This window comes from Homo sapiens, chromosome 11, assembly GCF_000001405.40.
Source record: "Homo sapiens chromosome 11, GRCh38.p14 Primary Assembly".
In the NCBI taxonomy this organism is placed as follows: domain Eukaryota; kingdom Metazoa; phylum Chordata; class Mammalia; order Primates; family Hominidae; genus Homo; species Homo sapiens.
Genome location: NC_000011.10, coordinates 94,304,250 through 94,321,665, shown reverse-complemented (window position 1 = coordinate 94,321,665; position 17,416 = coordinate 94,304,250). Strand labels below are relative to the sequence as shown.

Genomic DNA, 17,416 nt, shown 5'->3' with positions numbered 1-17,416 from the left:
TTTCATTATGAAATGACCTTGTCTTGTAATACTCTTTGCTCTGAAATGTACTTTGTCTGATGTTAATATAGCTGATATAACTATCTTTTGGTTAGTGTTAACACGGTATATCTATTTCCATTCTTTGACTTTTTGTTTTTAATGTGAGGCAGGGTTTTGTTCTGTTGCCCCGGCTGGAGTGCAGTGGCACAATCATGGCTCACTGCAGCCTCAACCTCCTGGGCTCAAGAGATCTTCTCACCTCTGTCTCCTGAGTAGCTGAGGCCATAGTTGCACACCACCATACCCTATTAATGTTTTTTATTTTTTGTAGAGGTGAAGTCTCCCTATGTTGAACAAGTTGGTTTCAAACTCCTGGGCTTAAAATTTAAGTAATTTTTAAAAATCTTAGATATCTACCCACATAGTTCATCTTTCCAGTGTTCCTCATTCCTTTGCATAGATCTACATTTCAATCTATTATTTTTATTCTGCCTATTTAACACTTCTTACTGTCTGGGTCTGCTGGTGATGAATGTTTTAGAGTTTGTATGTCTAAAAATGTCTTTACTTTGTCTTCATTTAAAAAAGATATTGTGTTAGGTTTCTAGGGCTGCCATAACAAAATACCACAGAGTAGACGGTATACACAACAGAAATTAATTTTTTCATAGTTCTGGAGGCCAGAAGTCAAAGATCAGGGTTTGGCAAGTTTGGTTTCCTCTGAGGCCTCTCTCTGTTGTTTGAAGAAGGCCATCATCTCACCATGTTCTCAGAGGGTTGCCCCTCAGTCTGTGTGGTGTTCTAATCTTCTCTTCATATGAGGACACCAATCATATCGGATTAGGGCCCACCTGTATCACTTTATTTTACCTTAATTACTTCCATAAAGGACTTATGTCAAAATATAGTCACATTCTGAGGAGTTGCTGGTTAGGATTTCAGCATATGAAGTTTGGGGGGTGAGGGAACACAATGCAGCCTGTAAACAGATATGTTTTCTGGGCATAGATTTATAAGTGGACAGTTTTCTTCTTTCAGCACTTTAACAATGTTGCTCCACTGTCTTCTTAATTTTGCTCCTCTGAATGTATCAAATGTTTTTCTCTCTTTGCTTAGAGGTTTTCTCTTTATCACGTATTTTGAGCAATTTGATTATGATTTATTTTGATGTCACCTTCATGTTTCTTGTGCTGGAGATTCATTCAGCTTCTTGGATCTATGGATTTATCATTCCAGGCTGAAGTAGAAGTGACATTTCCTTAGGATTTTTCATGGAAGTAGAATTGTGAACTAAAAAGATTTGACAATTTTATATTTTAATGCATTTGAACAGTTTTCCTTCTATAATGCATCCATCAATTTACATCCCCAGAAACAGACAGTACTATTTTTTTTGTATTGTTTGAATTTTTCTTTTTTTTTTAAATTATTATTATACTTTAAGTTTTAGGATACATGTGCACAATGTGCAGGTTAGTTACATATGTATACATGTGCCATGCTGGTGCGCTGCACCCATTAACTCGTCATTTAGCATTAGCTATATCTCCTAATGCTATCCCTCCCCCATCCCTCCAACCCACAACAGTCCCCAGAGTGTGATGTTCCCCTTCCTGTGTCCATGTGTTCTCATTGTTCAATTCCCACCTATGAGTGAGAACAGGCGGTGTTTGGTTTTTTGTCCTTGTGATAGTTTACTGAGAATGATGATTTCCAATTTATTTATTTATTTATTTATTTTTATTATTATACTTTAAGTTTTAGGGTACATGTGCACAATGTGCAGGTTAGTTACATATGTATACATGTGCCATGCTAGTGTGCTGCACCCACTAACTCGTCATCTAGCATTAGGTATATCTCCCAATGCTATCCCTCCCCCCTCCCGACACCCCACAACAGTCCCCAGAGTGTGATGTTCCCCTTCCTGTGTCCATGTGTTCTCATTGTTCAGTTCCCACCTATGAGTGAGAATATGCGATGTTTGGTTTTTTGTTCTTGCGATAGTTTACTGAGAATGATGATTTCCAATTTCATCCATGTCCCTACAAAGGACATGAACTCATCATTTTGTATGGCTGCATAGTATTCCATGGTGTATATGTGCCACATTTTCTTAATCCAGTCTATCATTGTTGGACATTTGGGTTGGTTCCAAGTCTTTGCTATTGTGAATAGTGCCGCAGTAAACATACGTGTGCATGTGTCTTTATAGCGGCATGATTTATAATCCTTTGGGTATATACCCAGTAATGGGATGGCTGGGTCAAATGGTATTTCTAGTTCTAGATCCCTGAGGAATCGCCACACTGACTTCCACAATGGTTGAACTAGTTTACAGTTCCACAACAGTGTAAAAGTGTTCCTATTTCTCCACATCCTCTCCAGCACCTGTTGTTTCCTGACTTTTTAATGATTGCCATTCTAACTGGTGTGAGATGGTATCTCATTGTGGTTTTGATTTGCATTTCTCTGATGGCCAGTGATGATGAGCATTTTTTCATGTGTCTTTTGGCTGCATAAAAGTCTTCTTTTGAGAAGTGTCTGTTCATATCCTTTGCCCACTTTTTGATGGGGTTGTTTGTTTTTTTCTTGTAAATTTGTTTGAGTTCATTGTAGATTCTGGATATTAGCCCTTTGTCAGATGAGTAGGTTGTGAAAATTTTCCCATTCCGTAGGTTGCCTGTTCACTCTGATGGTAGTTTCTTTTGCTGAGCAGAAGCTCTTTAGTTTAATTAGATCCCATTTGTCAATTTTGGCTTTTGTTGCCATTGCTTTTGGTGTTTTAGACATGAAGTGCTTGCCCATGCCTATGTCCTGAATGGTAATGCCTAGGTTTTCTTCTAGGGTTTTTATGGTTTTAGGTCTAACATTTAAGTCTTTAATCCATCTTGAATTGATTTTTGTATAAGGTGTAAGGAAGGGATCCAGTTTCAGCTTTCTACATATGGCTAGCCAGTTTTCCCAGCACCATTTATTAAGTAGGGAATCTTTTCCCTATTGCTTGTTTTTCTCAGGTTTGTCAAAGATCAGATAGTTGTAGATATGTGGCGTTATTTCTGAGGGCTCTGTTCTGTTCCATTGATCTATATCTCTGTTTTGGTACCAGTACCATACTCTTTTGGTTACTGTAGCCTTGTAGTATAGTTTGAAGTCAGGTAGCATGATGCCTCCAGCTTTGTTCTTTTGCCTTAGGATTGACTTGGTGATGTGGGCTCTTTTTTGGTTCCATATGAACTTTAAAGTAGTTTTTTCCAATTCTGTGAAGAAAGTCATTGGTAGCTTGATGGGGATGGCATTGAATCTATAAATTACCTTGGGCAGTATGGCCATTTTCACGATATTGATTCTTCCTACCCATGAGCATGGAATGTTCTTCCATTTGTTTGTATCCTCTTTTATTTCATTGAGCAGTGGTTTGTAGTTCTCCTTGAAGAGGTCCTTCACGTCCCTTGTAATTTGGATTCCTAAGTATTTTATTGTCTTTGAAGCAAATCATGTTCACTCATGATTTGGCTCTCTGTTTGTCTGTTATTGGTGTATAAGAATGCTTGTGATTTTTGTACATTGATTTTGTATCCTGAGACTTTGCTGAAGTTGCTTATCAGCTTAAGGAGATTTTGGGCTGAGATGATGGGGTTTTCTAGATATACAATCATGTCATCTGCAAATAGGGACAATTTGACTTCCTCTTCTCCTAATTGAATACCATTTATTTCCTTCTCCTGCCTGATTGCCTGGCCAGAACTTCCAACACTATGTTGAATAGGAGTGGTGAGAGAGGGCATCCCTGTCTTGTGCCAGTTTTCAAAGGGAATGCTTCCAGTTTTTGCCCATTCAGTATGATATTGGCTGTGGGTTTGCAATAGATAGCTCTTATTATTTTGAGATACGTCCCATCAATACCTAATTTATTGAGAGTTTTTAGCATGAAGGGTTGTTGAATTTTGTCAAAGGCCTTTTCTGCATCTATTGAGATAATCATGTGGTTTTTGTCGTTGGTTCTGTTTATATGCTGGATTACATTTATTGATTTGTGTATGTTGAACCAGCCTTGCATCCCAGGGATGAAGCCCACTTGATCATGGTGGATAAGCTTTTTGATGTGCTGCTGGATTCAGTTTGCCAGTATTTTATTGAGGATTTTTGCATCAATGTTCATCAAGGATATTGGTCTAAAATTCTCCTTTTTGGTTGTGTCTCTGCCCGGCTTTGGTATCAGGATGATGCTGGCCTCATAAAATGAGTTAGGGAGGATTCCCTCTTTTTCTATTGATTGGAATAATTTCAGAAAGAATGGTACCAGTTCCTCCTTGTACCTCTGGTAGAATTCGGCTGTGAATCCATCTGGTCCTGGACTCTGGTTGGTAAGCTATTGATTATTGCCACAATTTCAGATCCTGTTATTGGTCTATTCAGAGATTCAACTTCTTCCTGGTTTAGTCTTGGGAGAGTGTATGTGTCAAGGAATTTATCCATTTCTTCTAGATTTCCTAGTTTATTTGCGTAGAGGTGTTTGTAGTATTATCTGACGGTAGTTTGTATTTCCGTGGGATTGGTGGTGATATCCCCTTTGTCATTTTTTATTGCGTCTATTTCATTCTTCTCTCTTTTTTTATTAGTTTTGCTAGTGGTCTATCAATTTTGTTGATCCTTATACTATTTTTTAATCATTGCCAATCTAATTAGTTTTAAAAAGGTTCTCATTATTTTAATTTGCATTTATTTAACTACTCATGAAACAAAATTTTTGTTAATGTTTATTGATTATATTTTCTCATTTTTCTTTATTCATTCATTTAATCATTTAACAAATATTTGTTGAGCCGCTACTATGTGCCAGGAAATGTTCCATATACTGGGGATACAGCAGTAAATAAGACAGGTGAGGTTCTCCCCTCATGGAGCCTGCTTTCTAAGAGTGAGGTGAGGGAGACAGTGCAGATACACATACACACAATTTTCGATGGTGATATAAGCTATAAAAAATAAGACAAGGTGACATGGAGTATGACTTGGAATGGTGACTTGAGTAATTGCAGAAGGCTTCTCTGAAGATGTGATATTTGAACTAAAACCCAAATTATGAGAAAGAGCTAGGTATGCAATGAGATGGGCAAAAGCATCAAAGGAATAGAAAACAAGCAAGTACAAATGTTCTGAGGTATAAATGAGCCTAGTTTGTTTGAGAATGAGAAGAAATCCCAGGTCACTGGAGAGTGGTAAGTAGGAGCAAAAGTCTTAGGAGCTAAGGTCAGAGTTCTAGTCAGGAGTTTAAAGTTTATTCTAAATGTGAATTACCTATACAAATCCTTTGCTTATATTTTAAAAACTTTTATTGTACTAAAAATATTAACATCTGTATGTATATGTTGCAAATATTTCTTCCTATTTTTATCTGTCTTTGAATTTTATTTAGAGTGTTTTAAAAAAAACCTTTCCTTTTTCTTTCTTGTGTTTTAAAAATATTAGTAAATATATTAATCTTTTACTTTATAGCTACTGCCTTTAGAAAACTCACCTCATCAAAACTATGAAAATATTCACCAAAATTACTATTGTACTCATTATTTTCACACACCATCAATTTTTAAGGTTTTTTTTGTGTAGTTATTAAGTCATGTGTAAGACAAATGTTTTTATCTTACCTCTGAACGTCCTTGGGCTAGGAAATGGGTTAAGAACTGGGTGGTGTCATACCTCTTACTTAATAATAAAACCATAGCAACAACTATTATTTAATGCCTTGCTGTGGCTATTTTGGAGTCCTAGAGTAAGGGAGGGGGAAGGGGACCAACCTGGGCTTATTTCCATGTTCCTTTATCAAGAGCATGTGAAGGAAACCAGATCCTCTCAGAGTTTCTGCGTGATGAATCAGCTCCTTCGTCCACTACAGCTGCCACCTCCAATTTCTCTGGCCTCCTTGTTTCCTTTGATGTGCCCTCATGTGCTTCCTGTCTTCTAAATATTTGTTGAAATCTCTTGTTCACTGATGGTTTCCTATTCCTTTAATATATCCACCTTATCTAAATTATCCACTTCTTCAACTCTCTCTGGGTCCTTGTATGCTTCTTTCCTAAGAATCATCTTATTTGTAGTTCCTTTAATTTTAACCATCTGCTTATATTTTTTAATGTATTTCTTATCATAGTATAAGCTCCTTGTGGGCAGGAATGATGTTTGTCTTCTTTGCTATTCTATCTTGTGGAAATAAATGGAGACCACCCATATGAGAACAAGCAGAGCTTGCAAGAGAGTCAGCCACCATCACTTACATTTTGCCAGAGACTCAAGGCAAGCAGGGGAGTGGGAAAGTTTTAGAGTAAATAAAAGAGGAGGCTTCAGATCTGCTCAGATCAAAGGCTGTGAGCAGGGGCAAGCTGTAGGCAGTTGTATTAGTCCGTTCTTGCATTGCTATAAAGAAATACCTGAGACTGGCTTATATATAAAATATATATATAATAGGTTTAACTGGGTCACAGTTCTGCAGGCTGTACAGGAAGCATTGCAGCATCTACTTCTGGGGAGGCTTCAGGAAACTTCCAGTCAAGGCAGAAAACAAAGGGGGAACAAGCACATTATGTGGCAAAAATAGAAGGAAGGGAATTGTGGGTGGAGGGGCAGAGGTGCCACACACTTTCAAATGACCAAATCTCATGAGAATCCATTATCACGAAGACAGCACCAAGTCATGAGGGATCTGCCTCCATGCTCTAAACACCTCCCACCAGGCTCCACCTCCAGCATTGGGGATTACAGTTCAACATGAGACTTGCTTGGCTGGAGACAAATGTCCAGACTATATCAGCAGCTAACTAGAAGCAGGGCATTCCATGTGATTGGTGAGGGGGCATATTTAGCTTTCCCCAGTTGGTCCTAAGTTAAAAGCAGGAGCTGAAATAGGAAAGCTGGAAGTTATTAATCAATTCCTGATCATTTTGGGTCAATCGTTATAGGGGCTATCCTTTGGCTTCCTGGAATGGATACTGTGGATAGTAAGTTGGCTTCCTGGGCTGGCTGTTACAGGTTGTGGGTCAGAGTCCTGCTTTATACATTGCCTGGTCATTGCTCATTTGTATATTCAATCTTTCAATTCCCAGGACCAGCATTTTCCAGCATAGAGTAAGAACGCAGTAATTATGAGTTAATTAATATGAAGCGGGCAACTTCGAATTTGACATTGCCCCTCAGAGGTGCAGCTCCCTTCCATCCTCTTTCTACCCGGCTTCTGCATCCCTGTGTCTTTACTAGCTCCATTCCCTGTCACTTCCTTGACTGTAGGTGAGTCAGAGAGACTCTCCACAAGCTTTTCCTTTTTCTCTCTTTATTTTCCTTAGAGAACTCATCTACTTCCACACTTCTAGGAAAGTGAGTCCAGGATTCTTATCTGCAGCCCACATCTCTTTCCTGCACTGTGGGTCAATTGGCTGATGGACAACTCCTCGCTGACATCCTGCCAGCATCTCAGAGCCCATCATCAGCTCCTCCTCACTGGGAAATCCTCTTTCCTCCTCCAGATGTTTCTTTCTTTTTTTTTTTTTTTTGAGATGGAGTTTCACTCTTGTTGCCCAGGCTGGAGTGCAATGGTGCGATCTCGGCTCACCACAACCTCTGCCTCCCAGGTTCAAGCGATTCTCCTGCCTCAGCCTCACTAGTAGCTGGGATTACAGGCATGTGCCACCATGCCCAGCTAATTTTGTATTTTTAGTAGAGACGAGATTTCTCCATGTTGGTCAGGCTGGTCTTGAACTCCCGACCTCAGGTGATCCGCCTGCCTTGGCCTCCCAAAGTGCTAGGATTACAGGCATGAGCCACCGCGCCCGGCCCTCCAGATGTTTCTATTTAGTTTTTTGTGGCAAAAGCACTATTGAACATGGTTTCTGATTCTGTGGGAGAGTAAATCTGAGGATGGATGTAAGGAAAACCGAGTAGGAGGGAATACAAAAAAAGGGCGACTGGTGTTGTTGGCAGGAAAAGTGTCCCCTGGGGATGCAAGAAGGGAGTGGACACTCAAGCTATCTCAAGGGCTGGAGCTGGGGAAAGTGATCTGACCTTTTCTCCTTACCCCCTAGTCTCCAAAGTCCATTGTATCATTTGTATGCCTTTGTATCCTTGTAGCTTAGCTCCCACTTGTAGCTTAGCTTCCAACACCAGCCTGGAACACCAAAATAATCTTCATTTCTGGGTCTTCCAACAGACAAAGCAACAGGACATTGGGAAGCAACTAAGGAAGCAGTCCTTTTTGTGGAGGAGTTCAGTAGGGGTGGGGTGGGAGAGGAATGGCAGGGGTGCTCAGTGCTCCTCCATCAGGCAGCAGAGGTGGTCTAGGAACAAGATCTCTGTGCATGACTGTCAGGCTGCAGCAACTCCTGCGCTTGGTAAGGGACCTCACTGAGGAAAGTTACTCAGAAAGAATCTTAAAGCAAGGGCAGCATAAAAGAGGGCCATTTTGTTTTGTTTTTCATTTGCCCCCCAGGACTTCCCATTGTCCCTGAGGAAGGACTTGAATAGGGTTTGATGTTCCCACATCATCAAAAGTGACTGGGTTGCCTCCAGGAGAAGGAACACCCTCCAGTAGCTCCCTGCTACCAAGACCTAGTACAATCCAAAGTGGGGAAAGTTCCTCTTATAAATGGAAGCATCAGAGTGCAGTTATCCAAGGCTGTTGGTTTCTTTGTGATAGTTCTCTGTCCCTAATGTCTTATACCTATTTTGTGGCACTTTATGCAAAAATATGCTCTAAGCTTCTATTGATTCTATCTTCTAATAGTTCCTGAATCTGCCCCTCTTGTGTCCACTGCCTCTACTGTGGCTTGGCTTCATGCCTCCTAGAAAGTTGCTCACAATTAGGTTTCTAGCACCTGCCTTCTGATTTTCTTTCTTTCCTGCACATTCATTCTACATATTGTCCTTATCCTCCTTGTCTTCCATTTGGCTTTCTTCTAATCTACTGTTTAAACAACCGTTGAGTCTTTAATAAATCTACAGCTTCTGGTTACAGAGAGTGGAATGAATACCTGGGATTCCACTAAAAAGATTATTTCCATGTTCCTTTTTCAAGAGCATGTGAAGGAAACCATCAGTGAACAAGAGATTTCAACAAATATTTAGAAGACAGAAAGCACATGAGGGCACATCAAAGGAAACAAGGAGGCCAGAGAAATTGGAGGTGGCAGCTGTAGTGGACGAAGGAGCTGATTCATCACGCAGAAACTCTGAGAGGATCTGGGCTCAGAGTTGGCAGGTGTTGGGGGCAGAGCAAGAAAGTCTCTACATGCCCCTGGCCCACGTGTCCTCTGCCCAAATCTAGTGCTCAGGCAACCCAACTTTAGCCCCTGGGGTAGAAGAACCTTCTCTAAAAAATTAAATTCTGGATAGTGCTGAAGTTGGGTTTTGTTTTTGTTTTTTAAGATAGGGTCTCACTCTGTCACCAGGCTGGAGTGCAGTGGTGCAATCTTGGCTCACTGTAGCCCCAACCTCCCAGGTTCAAGCAGTCCTCCTGCCTCAGCCCCTCAAGTAGCTGGGACTAAAGGTGCATGGCACCACACCCAGCTAATTGGATAGTGCTGAAATTTCACATATGGTTGTTAGCATCCCAGAGAGAACCATCCCTATTCTGGCATGCAAAGGCTCCATACCCCAATATAGCTATATAGCTCCTGCTAACTTGGTCTCGAGATGGACAATGGTCAGACCACATATAACAATAGAACTCTAACCCATTATCTATAGTAACCAGCCCAGAAGCCATCCTACTATCTTGCAAGTCAGACTCGTAGGACATCAGTACTGTCTCTCTAGCAATTAGCCCAGAAAGCCAAACAATCAGCCCTGCAGTAGCCCCAAACAGCCAGGAGTTGATTAATAACTGTTAGGTTCCCTAATTTTTATCCCTGGGATTGAAAGACTGAATCTACAAATGAACAATGGCTAGCTGTATATAAAACAGGATTCTGACCCACAAGTAGCCCAAGAAGCCAACCTACTAACTGCACTTGGTAAGGGATCTTACCTTCAGGAAGATACAGTCCAGGAAGCCAAAGAATAATCCCTATCACAATTGACCCAACATGGCCAAGAATTTATTAATAGCCAGCTTTCTCATTTTTGGCTCCATTTCCAACTTAGGACCAATCAGAAAAAGCTAAGTATGTTCCCTGAACCAAACACATAGGATGCCCATTTCTAGTTAGCCTGCCTACAGCTTGCCCCTGCCCACAGCCTCTGAGCCTAGCAGACCTAAAGCCTTCCCATTTTTTTTTTTTTTTTTGAGATGGAGTCTCGCACTGTCGCCCAAGCTCGAGTGCATTGGTGCAATCTCAGCTCACTGCAACCTCTGCCTCCCGAGTTCAAGCGATTCTCCTGCCTCAGCCTCCCAAGTAGCTGGGATAATAGGCACCCGCCACCATGCCCAGCTAATTTTTTTGTATTTTTAGTAGAGACAGGGTTTCACTATGTTGGCCAGGATGGACTCAATCTCCTGACCTTGTGATCTGCTCACCTCAGCCTCCCAAAGTGCTGGGATTACAGGCGTGAGCCACCATGCCCAGCCGAAGGCTTCCCTTTTATCCACTCTAAAACTTTCCCACTCTCCTCCCTGCCTTGAGTCTCTGGCAAAATGCAAGTGATGGTGGCTGACTCCCTTGTAAGCTCTGAACAAATAGCCTTTGCTTGTTCTTATTTGAGTGCTCTTCATTAATTTTCACACTCTGAAGCAAGGTCTTTCTCTCAACAAGCTCTTCTCACATACCAGTAAACCTTTACAAATTGTTACAAATAGCAGCACTGAAATGAAGATCCTTATATAAAACCATGGAGGAAACCTATACTAGCTTGCTATAAAATCAACTCGGCTCCTCATTCTTAAATATGACAGCCAAAGATAGACAGCCAAAGCCACCAGACTCAGAGAGAACGAGCAGCACGTAGGAGACGATAAAGAAAACAGAACAGATTGACCTTGGAGGAAACAGGTCATTCAGAGACTCAAAACAAGCTTAAAAACATTCTAATTAGATCTTCAGTGACATTTGAGAAGATATTACATCCATGAAACAAAAAACAGCAGGCTGTGGAAAAAAAAAAAGTCTCTTGGAAATTAAAAGTGAACTGCCAGAATTAAAAAGATTGGAGGATTAAGTTGAGAAACTCAAACAGAACAGAGAGCAAAAAGATAGTCTGAATGTGTGGCAGAAAAGGTAAGTCACATTTTGTCACTTTTTTATAGCTAAACCCAAAAATGGTTAGAAGGGGTGCTCCCAGGGTAGGAACCTGATGGATGAGTGAGCTGGCAGCTGCTCTCTTGCTTTGCATTAGAAATCCCTTGGCCGATGTTTGTGAGCCATGTGCATGGATCACTCTGATTAAAACACACAATCTAACTGCAAATCTGACAGTTCTACTCCTTTGCTTAAAACCCATCACTCCTCCTGTTGATCAAAATTAAGGCTATTTGTAACAATTTGTAAAGGTTTATTGGAAGCAGAAATAATTTGTAAAGGTTTATTGGAAGCCAAATGTGAATAATGACCCAGGAAGACACACTAACAAAGTTGGGAGTCTTCTGGACTCTGTCTCAAAAAAAAAAAAAAAAAAAAAATCACCCTTTTCAATGTCGGTAGGCTACACATTAATCAGTATGTCAACAATTTGGGAACTCATAATAAGATTCTTTCTCAAGGAAAGGATGTCACCATGAATCACAAGACCTACCCCAGGTGAGTTAACTTGGAAGCCTTTTTACTTTTAAACTGTCAGTGTGACCTGTGGGTTATGACTCCTAATCACATGAAGGGGTAGAACTCAGTCTCTTTCCTGACTGTGACTTGCCACCAGCTATCCCTCCCTCTCTCCCACCACTCCCAAATCCACATCAGTTCAACTCAACTACAGATCAGGCTGTTCAGTGTAAGCCTGTGAGCTGGAACCGTGGGTTCAGACTTAGCTGGTTTCTACTTATATTTATGTCCCAATCTGAAAAATGAGAATAGTAAAAAATGATATTATAATACAACAAGGATAATAAGGCTTTTGTGAGGATCAAATGAGCTAACATATATTATGTACTTCCCAGAGATCCTGGGTGCATGGTAAGTGATCAATAAGTATCAAATTATTAGGGCTTCCAGATTACTCTTGTTTTGTCCATTCCAGTTTTAACCTTCTTTTGGCAATTCGTTATATTTAAAAACACTTTAAAAAGGGCATTAACCTCTCAGCTTTATTATCAACCACACACCCACAGACACCTCAGTTTTCAAGAGATTTTAAATTTCTTAAGCTCTTTAAGAGATTTTTGATACATTTATATGTACTTTTTAAGCCACAATTTATTAATTTAAGAGCAATTGAAGGTCCTGCTTTGTCTGGCTCATACTTTGGGGCCTCCACTGGGTTTTGACTAGCACTTCCCTTCTGTTCTCAGCTGCTCTCCTTTTTTGGGGTTCCAGCCTCACCCCTTTGTGAGGCCTTCTCAGAGACCCCCACCCAGCCCCTTTCTTTCAGACTTCCTATGAACAGCTTTGTCCCCACTGCAGCTGTCATCTGTCTACTACTCTAGACACCGAGGGCAGCACTTGGAAGGACGCTCTTTGTAGGTTTTGTGACTCCAGTGCCTCCCCTGAGACAAGATCTGCTCTGTGGATGGGCCTGTGAGGCGAGTGCAGAAGGAATGGAGGCCGAGTTTAAGCAATGAGCAGGGCTGGCTGGAGTCTGGCAAGAATGGACAGTTGTTAGAAAAGCCAGTCAAATCAAGTGCAGCCATGCTAGAACTTTCTCTTTGTCAAAGAAAAGGTTGTGGGGAAAGCATCATCTACTGCTGGGAAGCTGCCCGGCTCCAGGCTCCGGAAAGTGCTGGGTGGGCAGGTCAGCTGCTTGTCTACTTACAGCTGGGGTGCGAGGTCAGGGCCCCATCCCCAGTTCAGTTCTAATACTTCATTCTTGAGGTCTTCTCAGATAGTATGCTATCTGAGAAGCACACACTATCTCCTGGCAAACAAGGTTGCTAGCTTTTTCCTTTTTCTTACTTCTTTTTCATAAGTTAAATCCAACTAACTCATTCCTTTCAGCAGAGAGAGAAATTAAGGCAGTCTTAATGAAGATCACAGGAGTTGCCAAAAGTCATATAGAAAGCAAAAAGGTCAGATTAGAACTCGGGTTTCCAAAATGTTAGACCAGTGTGCTGTGATTCTGGGGGTAAAATGAATGGGTTAAAAGGAAGAGGGAACCCTGAAGGCAGTCGAGGTAGCTGCTTCAATTTTGGCAGCCAAAATAGAGCTGATGTGCTGGGTGGCCCCATCCCTCTCGCCCTGGCTTTGGGTCCTTTGTGTGGTGTCACTTATTGAAAAAAAAAGGGGCATTGAAAGTACTCCCATCAGAGAGGTATTGTGAGGATGTGTGGCAGATATTAAGAAGTTAATAATTGTTAGGCAAGTAACAACCTAACTTTGAGACTTCAGTGCAGTGGGCAAACTGGCTCCCTCTGTGTGCATGTTGGGTCCCTGCACATAAAGCTAAGACACAGGAAGTCAAGCAGAGGAGAGGTTGAGTGCCGATTTATTGAAGACACCGTCGGAGGATGGGAGGCCAGGTCTGCCACCATCAGCTCTGTCACAGAAAGGGGTAGGCGTGCACTGGATGGGAAAGTCCTTGAGCCCCTTGAAAGCTCCCATCCCTCAAGGCAGGAGGTGGCCAGTCACCTTGGCACTTCCAGCCCCCAGCTGCCTCCTAGGCCAGCTAAGATAGAGCAGAGCAGTGGAGGGGGTCTCGGACCAAATGTGCAGGTTGCAGGCACCAGCCGCTGAAGCCTCAGGGGCACTTCCTTCCTCAGGCCCTCCCCTAAAAGCAGTGGCATGGGCTAGACTGGGTGGGACTGCAGTCCCTAGCCCATGCCACTGCTTTTAGGGGAGGGCCTGAGGAAGGAGGTAGGCCATGGCCTGGCCTGACCCACAGTTGGTGGACATGCAGGAATGTGAGTGGGAGAAGAAGGGCTCTCAGGAAAGGAACGGCAGGAACAGGGAGCAGACCATGATGGTGTAGGACAGTTCCCAGGATGGGGCAGAGCTGGCGAAGAGGCGGGCCACGGCCACATTGGGGTTGCCCTGAGCAGGCTCAAACCACTTCTGGAGACACCGCCCACTGTTCCGTCGCTCAGGGCTGGCTTTGAAGGAATTGCTCCAAGTCTTCTCACACAGGTCAGCTGGGGTGGGGAAGTAATGGGAGAAAGGGAGGCACTGGGCCCCTTTGGGGCAGCGGTTCTTCCCTGCAGGGGATGGAGGAGGGACAGCTTACCTCCTACTCCCTCATTGCTAGCCTTTGCACCTGCACCCTTGTGGGGACCACCAAGGGGCCTCTTCCCGACCAAGGCCTTGTCAGCACCACTCACCCTGACTCCAGTCCCAGCCACCACGCCAGTTGGATTTGCATGTGTAAGACATGCGACAGTCTTCCCACCACTCCTCACAGTCCTCCTGGCACAGCGGCACATTCACAACTCGCTCTCCCTGCCCACTCGGGGCCACCTGGGTGCAGTCATAGCCAGAGATTAGAACATTAATAGCAGAGATGTGAAGACTACTAATAGCTACAGTGGTATTTGTACCAGGTACCATATGTACATCATCTTCCATAAAGCCTCTAAGTGTTATTTTACAAATAATACCAATGAGGCTAAGAGATTTAATAGTTTGTCCTGGGCTATACAGCTGGTAGGGACAGAACATGAGACTGAAGCTCAGGTCTGTCAACTCCACCAAGCCTCCTGTGGTGATAGCCCCTCATCCCACTGTTGTCAGAACAGTCTCCCCCATGTGATTCTCCAGCAGGGGCCTCTGGCTCTGCTCTTGTCCATAGGGAAATAACACCTCCTGTTCCTACTAGCATCCTGGCGGCATCAGCATAAGATCGGGTGAAAGCTCTGGCTGTTAATATAATAACAGGGCATGGCACAGATCTGCTTCCTACCTCCCACCCCAGGCTTCCCACTGGCTGGATCCAGGGCCCCAGGTTTGGGGAGCACTCATAGAAGCAGATAGCCTGGATGAAGTGCTTCCGACAGCCAGGCATCAGCAGTCCACAGTGAAACAGGCTGAAGTTGTAGAGTGGGGATACATCCAGATGGGCTTCCCAGCTTGTCGTGAGGGTGCAGCAGGCATTGTCCTTCCAGGGGATGCACTGAAGGCAGAGGAAGAAACAAAAGGCCCAGGCAAAAGGGGCAAGGATCGGCAAGTGTCTAGGGAAGAAAGGTGGTGAAATGAAAATGTCCCTTAGGAGGCCTGAGCAAGTGGGATGCCTTTAGCTAGTAAGCCCCTACATAAGAGGAACCCTGATAATCTCTCAATATTTACCCAAAGGGCAGAGGCACCTGCACAATGACCCCCTGCCACAGGCTGCTACAGTCCTCTAGAAACACAACTTCTGGGCTCTCAGCTCCTGAGAGGCAGCAGAAGCCTTTTAGGGCAAAGCAGGTAGAAGAGCCCCAGAGAGACCCAGGGGAATCTGGGGTTGCATTGGGTGGGAGGGTCTCATAGGCCAAATGCCAGCTGTGTTCTTCCTCCCATATCCCTGGAAATTGCCTTTAGGAGCTTGGGGAGGGGTCACATAAGTCATATGTTGCCCCAGGACCTGTTGGCAGGAAGGCTTGTTTTCATCTGTGCCGAGTCAACAATGGATCTCTGGGATCACCAGCGGTCCCTGCTTTCCCAGTGGCTAGAGCAGCTCAGAAATGGGAACTTTGAATCGCTTGGCTCTTATGGTCTCAAAAAGGCATAGTCTCTTTCCATCTAGTTGCCTTTGCTTAACTCCTAACCCCAGGAACCAAATGATCAGGGTTGATGAGGTTCGGAGACCATCTTGGCATTTGTGTCCCTTCCCTGATCTTCCCCATCCCATACCCAGGTCTGGCCTCTGTACCTCCTCATAGAGCTTGTCTTCTGGGCTGGGCACTCTCTTGTGGTGTTTGGCATTCATGCAGATGTTGAGCAGCTCGTCCCCAGCCCAGGTGGGCATGACTGTCCACAGCTCTAGCAGGAGCGGCCACCAGCATGCCATGGCCTGCTACAGAGAGACCCATGCTGCACACTTGATGGAAATGACACCCCACTCCACCCCCTTCATCATAGCAGGCACTGGGAAAGGGGGATGGGCTTCAATCTCCCTCAAATAATTGCAACACTCTGGCTGCTCCTAGGACCTTCTTTTGGAGGCAGCATCACAGAATGTCAGGGCAGGTAGAATAATCCTTGGAGGCCTGACACAGTGCTGGAGGCCTTGCTGGCCCTGCAGAGCCAGGGGCATGCCGAGGCATGAGTCAGATAGGAGGAGCCTTCTACATCCAAAGCCTGATCCCCATCACAGGAATGAGGAGGAGGGCCCTTCCTATTTCCAACTCTGTTCTGGGTAGTAGTGGTAATGAGAGGTAGTGGAAAGAGAGACAAAACAAAGCAAAAGGCAGAGGGGCCCCAGGCCTCAAGCACCCAACCTCTTAGGACACAGGGCCCCTCACCTTCATAGCCCAGGAGCCCATGGCTCCCCCAGTCCCCCAAGTCTGGCAGGAGCCTGACCTGGACCCATCATGGTGAAACTGGAAACTTCTAGCCTACCCTGGTCTAAGAGCCTCAAACATCCTGGGGAAGAAGAGCCCAGCCCCCCTCTTCAGAGCCCAACCTCAAGTCCAAATCTAAGGCTGTTCTCTCTCCAGACAACCAGTTTCAAGCTCAGCCATGGCCTTGAATATTTTTAAAGAATCAGATCTGTTAGGTAAAAGGAGGAAAGATGCTGCCCCTTCCAGCACTCTCTTCATACTCACTTTCAAGGCAGGAGCCTTCAGGTGCTCCTGCTCCCTCCTCCCCCTGAGACTATGAGGCTGAGGGGAGTTCCATGTCCCGCCCATTTATTACCCAGTCTGATTTCTACTAGGTCCAGGTGCAGGAGGAGAACTCCACGTGGCTCTCATTAAACAGCATCTGTCTCACCCAGCTCTGCAGGCCTGTGGGTTCCGAGGAAGTTTGCTTCCTCAGAGAAACAGACCCCATCGTAGGCAAGATCCGGGGCTCTACAATAAGTTACCGGGTTCGGCTGTCAGCTCTGCTACTTACTAGCTGGCTGCCCTGGAGAAAATGACTCAAATTCTCTGTCAGTTTCTCTCTCTGTAAAGGAAGTTTTTATTATGGGATTGGAAAAATAAAGAGAAAGTTCATGAACAAAAACCTTGGCATTGTGCCTGGGATAGAGGAAGTCTTAATGGTTTTAAATTTTATTCTTTTATCCTCTCTCCACACGCCCCTCCTATGTTCTGTTCCGTAGCTCTACCTGCCCCTTCACTGTTAGCCAAGCATCAGCTCAGTCACCTGGTGGCTTTTCTGACAGTGTCCTCGCACAGCCCACAGGAACTATGGTCCCTGCTGGAGCACAGACCGAGGACACAGGATGCAGAGAT

The 17,416-nt window shown here is 43.9% G+C and overlaps 1 protein-coding gene across 2 annotated transcripts; it reads right to left on the bottom strand.

The window, feature by feature from the left end:
- Positions 1-13,519: 13,519 nt before the first annotated feature.
- On the bottom strand, positions 13,520-17,086 carry IZUMO1R (IZUMO1 receptor, JUNO). Of its 2 annotated transcripts, NM_001199206.4 has the most exons (5): positions 16,787-17,086; positions 15,892-16,035; positions 14,944-15,153; positions 14,366-14,501; positions 13,520-14,242 (listed from the first exon to the last, which is right to left on the bottom strand). In NM_001199206.4, exons 2-5 carry the CDS (start codon positions 16,027-16,029, stop codon positions 13,974-13,976), a joined length of 753 nt encoding a protein of 250 aa, NP_001186135.1. In that variant the 5' UTR covers positions 16,030-16,035; positions 16,787-17,086; the 3' UTR covers positions 13,520-13,973. The 2 variants fall into 2 exon arrangements, with proteins under 2 accessions (NP_001186135.1, NP_001380539.1); NM_001393610.1 differs by lacking the exon at positions 16,787-17,086 and having other exon boundaries at positions 15,892-16,045.
- Between the last annotated feature and the right edge of the window lie 330 nt (positions 17,087-17,416).

Bases quoted from the DNA above. Each gene is read 5' to 3' on its own strand.
- IZUMO1R (NM_001199206.4), bottom strand. From the start codon at position 16,029: ATGGCATGCTGGTGGCCGCTCCTGCTAGAGCTGTGGACAGTCATGCCC. The intron at 15,154-15,891 runs GTACAGAGGCCA...CTCTGCCTTCAG, and splicing joins AAGACAAGCTCTATGAGGAG to TGCATCCCCTGGAAGGACAA. The intron at 14,502-14,943 runs GTAGGAAGCAGA...GACTGCACCCAG, and splicing joins TGGGAAGCCTGGGGTGGGAG to GTGGCCCCGAGTGGGCAGGG.